General features: G+C 44.2%; 1 annotated feature.

The window, feature by feature from the left end:
• Nucleotides 5,707-5,915: a silencer, noted in NCBI's record as "fragment chr1:181889418-181889626 (GRCh37/hg19 assembly coordinates)". NCBI's record gives its function as "represses an EF-1alpha promoter that drives an FKBP-Casp9 reporter gene in an ReSE screen in K562 erythroleukemia cells {active_cell/tissue: K562}" and the evidence as "EXISTENCE:reporter gene assay evidence [ECO:0000049][PMID:32094911]".

Raw genomic sequence — 8,644 nt, forward strand, 5'->3', positions numbered from 1 at the left:
GACCACAGCCAATGGGCTTTTGCATTGGGTTCCAAATCACTCGTCTGACAACCATGACCTAGAATCAATGCTCACCACAGGTCTGCTTGGTTGTTCCTCTGTACCATTTCCCCAAGATTCCCCCCTTCTAATAATGGGGTTCTTGAGGTCTACTCCATCTCTGTCCTTGCCCTCTATGCTGTATGCTTAGTTTGGATGACTGAGTTTATGCTTCAGCCCTGACCCCAACCTTCCTGTTCCAGCAAGTGGTCTCTCCCTGACCCTCCTATGAGCATCAGGCCCTGTCTTGCCCTTGCAAACCCCTCCTTGGGATTCAAGACCCCGCATCAACACCAGCACTATGCTGACAGTGGTTGCTTTGCAAATGGTACTCTCAAGCCTGACCCTCAAGGCCAAGCCCAGGCTGGTGCTGAGGCAGGCTTCCTTGGCAGCAACATAATAACTGTGCCGATTTATAGAGGGCCTGTCTGCTGAGTCTGGGATGCTGTACATAATAATGAAAACTCAGTCATCCTGGGGGATGGAGGTAACCAGGTCCCTTACCAATTCAGGCCAAAGTGCTCAGAGGGGCCCAGCTGAGCAGCCAGGAGAACAAAGTTATAGACTAAATAAATTTAACCTAGGCCCAAGAGCCAGAAATTGATGATGAATGAAACACCCTCCGGAAGTAACCAAAAGGATCAGAGCCTGAGACCTTTGTCGTCAGGGCACCTGTGGCTTGAGCTCTCAAAACACTTTGAAGAGAGGGAGTTACTTCTCAAGGAAGCACTAAAGGCCTAGCTGAGCATGTTTCTCCTGTGAGGCCAGTGTATTCTGCAGAGGAAAGGTCACCTGGGACCTAGAACAGACTCCCTTCAGATCCAGAGAAAAAAGAGCTGCTCTGCTAGATTGGGGCTGGGCTCAGAGCTCAGCTCCTCCACCCCCAGCTCTGTGGCCCAGCATCTCCATGTACACCACCTCCTTTGACCTTCTCAAGACTCTGTGGGCCAGGTAAGGCTGTGTATTCATTTCCTGTGGCTGCCATTATAAGTTATCAGACTAGGTGGCTTAAGACAGAAATTCATTCTCTCACAGTTCTGGATGCCAGAAATCTGAAACAAAGGTGCCAGCACGGTGGACTCCTTCTGGAGACTATGAGGGAGAATTTCTTCCATCCTTTTTTCCTAGCTTCTGGTGACTGCTGGGAATCCCAGCATTTTTTGACCTCTACGTATATCACTGCAATTTCTCCTTTCTTCATAAGGTCTTTCTATGTTTCTCCTCTGTACCTGCATCTCTTATCTTTTATAGGAAACCTATCATTGGATTTAGTGGCCATCCTAATCCGTCATGATCTTGAGATCCTTACCTTAGTTACATCTAGAAAGGCCCTTACCAAATAAGGTCACATTCTGAGGTCTTAGGTAGACATATATTTTAGGGGGTGATATGGTTTTGCTGTGTCCCCACCCAAATCTCATCTTGAATTATAGCTCCTACAGTTCCTATGTGTCATGGGAGGGACCCAGTGGGAGGTAATTGAATCATGGGGGTGGGTCTTTCCTGTGCTGGTCTCATGATACTGAATAAGTCTCACGAGATTTCATTGTTTTATAAAGGGGTTTCCCCTGCACAAGTTCTCTCTTGCCTGCCACCATGTAATATGTGACTTTCACCTTCTGCCATGATTGTGAGGCCTCCCCAGCCACATGTCACTGTGAGTTCATTAAACCTCTTTTTCTTTATAAATTACTCAGTCTTGAGTATGTCTTCTTTAGCAGTGTGAAAACGGACAAATACAGGCAACATTACTGAACTCACCACAGGCTGACAATTTTATTACATAAGGGAAACCAAGACTGTGAGAGGTTAAATCATCCAAATCACAAAGCTATTAATGAAAGTGCCAGATTTGGAACACAGAGGACATGGCATATCATATCTCTTGGGATGTTCTGAAGCAATGGAATACCCAATGCCTTGTTTTAGCAATAAATGGGTGTCTCAAGTTATGTGCTGTTCATCATAGATGAAGGAAAAATCTTAAAGTAAAAATTAAGCGGTAATGTCAAGACCAAGTCATCTCAATATACTTTTAGTTGCCCAGTTGCTTTCCACAGAATTTCCATTTAATTTGTAGATGATTTTCTTTAAAGCTAAAGTCTCTGATAACACACTTCTTTTCCGATTATTTAATTACATTTATGTGACAGTCTTTTATCAAGTGCCTATTATGTGTCGGACTGGTATAAAGATGTGTAAGACATAGCCTCTGTCGACAGAATGCTCACTATCTGGGGATAAGCTTGTGTCTAACGGACCATTGCTGTCCAGAACAGAGAGATGAGGGTAATAGAGAATGTTTGAAGTACCAAGAAGAGACAAAAATGGAGCCAGGAATTATGCCTAAAGACCAGAGGGCAGGGTTCAGGAAGTGAGCTTTAATGAAGTCTTGAAAGAAAAGTGGTGATTCCTCAGGGGGATAAGTAGGGAGAGGATTCTAGATCAAGAGAACAGCATGTGCAAAGGTATTTATAAATAAGTGGGATGTTTTGTTTGCTGGGGTAAGGATTAATATCTATTAAAAGTTTGAGAAAGTAAGCAGAGACCATATTGTTACCAGCCTTGTGTACTAGAACAGGCATTCAGGTTTTATCCTAAGCCACTGATGAGCTTTAAGTAGGGTGAGGAGTGTCACAGGTGAGTTTGCACTTTAAAAAGACCCAGCAGCAGCGTGGAGAATATATAGGCAGAGGGCCAGTATGGAGACAAGAAGACCATTAAGAGACATTTGCAAGTTGTCAAAAGCTTAGAGTGATGGCACATATGGCATTGGGGATGGAGGGGTGGGATGAACTAGAAAACCATTTGTTGGCACCCATCCTGAATCCCCGCCAGGCTGAGTTCATGACTCCCTTTGTGTTCCCACAGCACTTCTGCTGTGATGTATTGTTCACATATCACATCGCACCATATTTTTGGTTTACAAGTCTGCCCCCATCATTAATCATGGACTCCTTGAGACTGTGCCTTATTCATCTTTGTTTCCCAGAACCTAACAGAGATGTCCAATAAATACATATTGATAGAATTTTTAATGAGGCAGAACCAACAATAATTGGTGATAAATTCAATGTAGGAAGTAAGGAGGAAAGGGAGAGTCTCAAAAGAGGAAAAAGAGACTCCTAAGGCCTCACTTGTGTGGGCAGGGAGAAGGTGATGCCTATTACTATTATTAGCCTATTACCAAGAAGTTTTTGATTGCTCTGGGCTTGGAGTTCTTTGAGGAAAGATACCTCATCAGACCCAGCTTGGTACTGAGTGTTGTAAATACTTCATCAATTGTGTTAGGTTGAATTGCCTGCTGGATCAAAACTTACCATCTAATGGCTAAATATCCCTGGAGTGGGATTCAGGAGAATGAAGTTCTACCACTCGTCCTGCTCTGCCAGCCACAAACTCTTTGCACTCAGACATGAGGTCCAGCCTCTCTGACTGGAGAGCCATGCTTGCAAGCCCAACTGCTTCAAACACTACCTCCCACTGCAAGCTTTCCCTTGGGACCTCCCAGTAATTTTTTCCAGCTTTATTGAGATATGATTGACAAATGAAAATTGTACATATTTAGGGTATACAATGTAATGTTTTGATAAGTGTCTATACTATGAAATAATTAATACAACCAAGCAAGTTAACATATCCATCGCCTCAAGCAGTTACCATGTTTTTGTGATGAGAATACTTGAGATCCACTTTCTTAGCAAACTTCAGGTATATGTGTTAATAACTATAGTCACTGTGTTGTATATTATTGGTCTCCAGTTCTCATTCATCCTTTAACTGAAGGTTTGTATTCTTAGTGCAGCCTAATTTGATATAATCTCTCCTCCTTCTGATCAGTCATAACCATGCCCCCTCCCACACACAACCCCTATATCTCTTAAGATATTTTCATCACTCTACCTTGTATTATAGTTTAGGGTGAGCACATTCTGACTCCCTTCATAGATTAAAACTACCAGGAGCAGGATTCATGGCAGATTCATTTGACAACAGTATGTAGCATACTGCTACATATTCAATAATTTGGCTAAATGAGTAAATGAATAAAACTCATTGAAAGGTGGGAAAAATCCATCAGGAAAAATCCATCTGGAAGATTCCTCCTGGTTTTTATGTTACTTTGACAATTATTGCCTGATCTGCAGGGTGAGCTTGGCAGGAGGACTGGATAGGGTGCAAGAGGGCAGATTTCTGGGGGAAAAGGTCTCAGCTCTTCTTATAAGCCAGGGGATCCCATGAGAACATGGCAGTCACTTACCTGATGCCCCCTGCTCCCCATCTTAGAGAATAACTGGATAAGAATATGGCTCATTGAGTCTAGAAAATTATCAAAAAAGACATTCAGGATGGGCAGGTTGCTGGTTTCCTTACAGCCTGCGTGAAGTTTCTCTTCGGCACTGAGAATACTCCCAGTTTTATAGCCTACACAAGCTTCTGGTTTCACTTGGTTGCATATTTCAGCACCCAATGATCCAAAAGACTGATAAGGATTCCCTCAGTTGCTGGGGTCACATCCCCTGCCCACACCCAGTCCTGGCTGGAAATCTGCTGGGTCTCCGGAAAACTGCCTGCAGCACTGATCCACAAGCAGGGATCAGCACCTATGGGGGGTGGCGGACACTGTCTCAGGGTCCTTCTTGCTGTGAGGGCTCCCACTTGTAATCCACTAAAATACTCAGGGCCTTGGTGACTCATGCCCGCATGACATTTGCCTAATTAATTCTGCCTCTTAGATTCTCAGCTCTCTGGTCTGTGAAGGGGTGGCTGGGAGCTGCGGGGGAGTGGGATTTGCTGAAGCTGCAGGGGCAGAGCCAGTGGGAAAATGGAAAAGAGCACAGCCAGGGAAGAGACTTTCCGGGAGCAAGGCAAGTGGCTGGACCCCCTCAGCTATTCAGGGAACTTGTGGGGCCATCTTACATTTCTGCAGCTGTGCTGGGAAGACCTGGACAAAGCAAAGGACCTGAGGGGCCTGTGGGCAGGATGCCAGGGGAGGGGAAAGGGGGGATCCCCTCTTGGTGTTGATAGATATTGATACAGAGCACTCCTGGCAGCTAGCAAGGGCATTGCTGGGGCATTTGGTCAAGCTGAGGGACTGACATAACTACACTGCAAGGAGAGAGAGAGGAGAGGAGGCTTTCCTCTGGAGCTGCTGGCCAGAAGCATCATCTACTGCCTGCTGCTGTTCATTTGCGGGCATTGCAATGGGGCTAGTGATGTATCAGGATGCTGGGGAGGGATTTTAGGACTCAGAAAGCAGCAATATTTAAATTGTTATATACATTAGAATGGTATAGGAAGCTTGTAAATTGAAAACTCCTAGGCTCTGCCCCTCAGAGATTCACTGCTCATGTTACAAACTCCAGGGTGATTCTGATGCCAACAGTCCTCAGATCAGACCAGACACACCTACAGGGTGGGTTGGACCAAATGGCCATCCCATGATAACAGGCTGCCCTTCCAGAAGCACAGGTAGCTTACTTTAAAAGTGTCAATTGGGAGCCAGGCGCGGTGGTTCACATCTGTAATCCCAGGACTTTGGGAGGCCAAGGTGGGTGGATCAAGAGGTCAGGAAATCGAGACCATCCTGGCTAATATGGTGAAACCCCACCTCTACTAAAAATACAAAAAATTAGCCGGGCATGGTGGCACGTGCCTGTAGTCACAGCTACTCGGGAGGCTGAGGCAGGAGAATGGCATGAACCTGGGAGGCAGAGCTTGCAGTGAGCTGAGACTGAGCCACTGGACTCCAGCCTGGGTGAGAGAGCAAGACTCCATCTCAAAAATTAAAAAATAAAACATAAAGCGTCAATTGGGAATTCCCAGGCAAGATGGCCAAATAGGAACAGCTCTGATCTGCAGCTCCCAGTGAGACCAACGCAGAAGGCAGGTGAGTTCTGCATTTCCAACTGAGGTACCCAGCTTATCTCATTGGGACTGATTAGACAGTGGGTGCAGCCCATGGAGGGTGAGCAGAAGCAGGGTGGGGCGTTGCCTCACTCAGGAAGTACAAGGGGTTGGAGAACTCCCTCCAGTAGCCAAGGGAAGTGGTAAGGGACCCTGCCATGAAAGATGGTGCTATCCAGACCCAGATACTACGCTTTTCCCATGGTCTTCACAACCCACAGACCAGGAGATTCTTTTGGGAGCCTACACCACCAGGGCCCTGGGTTTCAAGCACAAAACTGGGCACCGTTTGGGCAGACAGCGAGCTAGCTGCAGGAGTTTTTTTCATACCCAAGTGGCACCTGGAGGGCCAATGAGACAAAACTGTTCACTCCCCTGGAAAGGGGGCTGAAGCCAGGGAGCCGAGTGGTCTTGCTCAGTGGATCCCACCCCCATGGAACCCAACAAGCTAAGATCTACTGGCTTGAAATTCTCGCTGCCAGCACAGCATTCTGAAGTCAACCTGGAACACTCGAGCTTGATCAGGGGTGGGGTGCCCACCATTACTGAGGCTTGAGTAGGTAGTTTTCCCCTCACAGCATAAACAAAGCCTCTGGAAGTTCAGACTGGGCAGAGCCCACCACAGTGCCTCAAAGCCATGGTAGCCAGATTGCCTCTATAGATTCCTCCTCTCTGGACAGGGGATCCCTGAAAGAAAGGCAGCAGCCACAGTCAGGGGCTTATAGATAAAACTCTCATCTCCCTGGGACAGAGCACATGGGGGAAGGGGTGGCTGTGGGCACCGCTTCAGCAGATTTAAATGCTCCTGCCTGCCAACTCTGCACAACTATACACACATACAACTGTACAACTTTATGGAAACTGAACAACCTGCTCCTGAACGAGTACTGGGTAAATAACACAATTGAGGCAGAAATAAGTTCTTTGAAACCAATGAGAACAAAGACACAACATACCAGAATCTCTGGGACACAGCTAAAGCAGTGTGCAGAGGGAAACTTATAGCACTAAAAGCTCACAGGAGAAAGTGGGAAAGATCTAAAATCAACACCCTAATATCACAATTGAAAGAACTAGAAAAGCAAGAGCAAACAAATTCAAAAGCTAGCAAAAGACAACAAATAATTAAGATCAGAGCGGAACTGAAGGAGATAGACACATGAAAAACTCTTCAAAAAAAAAAAATGAATCCAGGAGCTGGTTTTCTGCAAATATCAACAAAATAGATAGACCACTAGCCAGACTAAAAAAGAAGCAAAGAGAGAAGAATCAAATAGACACAGTAAAAAATGATACAGTGGAGATCACCACTGATCCCACAGAAATACAAACTACCATCAGAGAATACTATAAACACCTCTATGCAAATAAACTAGAAAATCTAGAAGAAATGGATGAATTCCTGGACACATACACCCTCCCAAGACTAAACCAGGAAGAAGTTGAATCCCTGAATGGATCAGTAACAAGTTCTGAAATTGAAGTAGTAATTAATAGCATACCAACAAATAAAAGCCTAGAACCAGACAGATTAACAGCCAAATTCTACCAGAGGTACAAAGAGGAGCTGGTACTATTCCTTCTGAAACTATTCCAAAAAATATAAAAAGACTCCTCCCTAATTCATTTTATGAGGCCAGTATCATCCTGATATCAACATCTAGCAAAAACACAACAAAAAAAGAAAATTTCAGGCCAATACCCCTGATGAACGTCAATGGGAAAATCCTCAGTAAAATACTGGCAAACCAAATCCAGCAGCACATCAAAAACTTATCCACCACAATCAAGTTGGCTTCATACCTGGGATGCAAGGCTGGTTCAACATACAGAAATCAATAAACGTAATCCATCACGTAAACAGAACCAATGTCAAAAACCACATGATTATCTCAATAGATGCACAAAAGGCCTTTGATAAAATTGAACATATTTTCATGTTAAAAACTCTTAATAAACTAGGTATTGATGGAACATATCTCAAAATAATAAGAGCTATTTATGACAAACCCACAGCCAATATCATACTGAATGGGCAAAAGCTAGAAGCATTCCCTTTGAAAACCAGTGCAAGACAAGGATGCCCTCTCTCACCACTCCTATTTAACTTAGTATTAGAAGTTCTGGCCAGGGCAATCAGGCAAGAGAAAGAAATACAGTGTATTCAAATAGAAAGAGAGGAAGTCAAGTTAGCTCTGTTTGCAGATGACATGATTATATATTTAGAAAACCCATTTTCTCAGCACAAAAACTCCTTAAGCTGATAAGCAACTTCAGCAAAGTCTCAGGATAGAAAATCAATGTGCAAAAATCACAAGGATTCCTATACACTGATAATAGAGAGCCAAATTATGAGTGAACTCCCATTCACAATTGTTACAGAGAGAATCAAATACCTACGAATACAACTTACAAGGGATGTGAAGGATCTCTTCAAGCAGAACTACAAACCACTGCTCAAGGAAATAAGAGAGGGCACAAATGGAAAAACATTCCATGCTTATGAATAAGAAGAATCAATATCGTAAAAATGGCCATACTGTCCAAAGTAATTTATAGATTCAATGCTATCCCCATCAAGCTACCAATGATTTTCTTCACAGAATTAGAAAAAACTACTTTAAATTTCATATGGAACCAAAAGAGAGCCCTTATAGCCAAGACAATCCTAAGCCAAAAGAACAAAGCTGGAGGCCTC

This window comes from Homo sapiens, chromosome 1 (genome assembly GCF_000001405.40).
Source record: "Homo sapiens chromosome 1, GRCh38.p14 Primary Assembly".
In the NCBI taxonomy this organism is placed as follows: domain Eukaryota; kingdom Metazoa; phylum Chordata; class Mammalia; order Primates; family Hominidae; genus Homo; species Homo sapiens.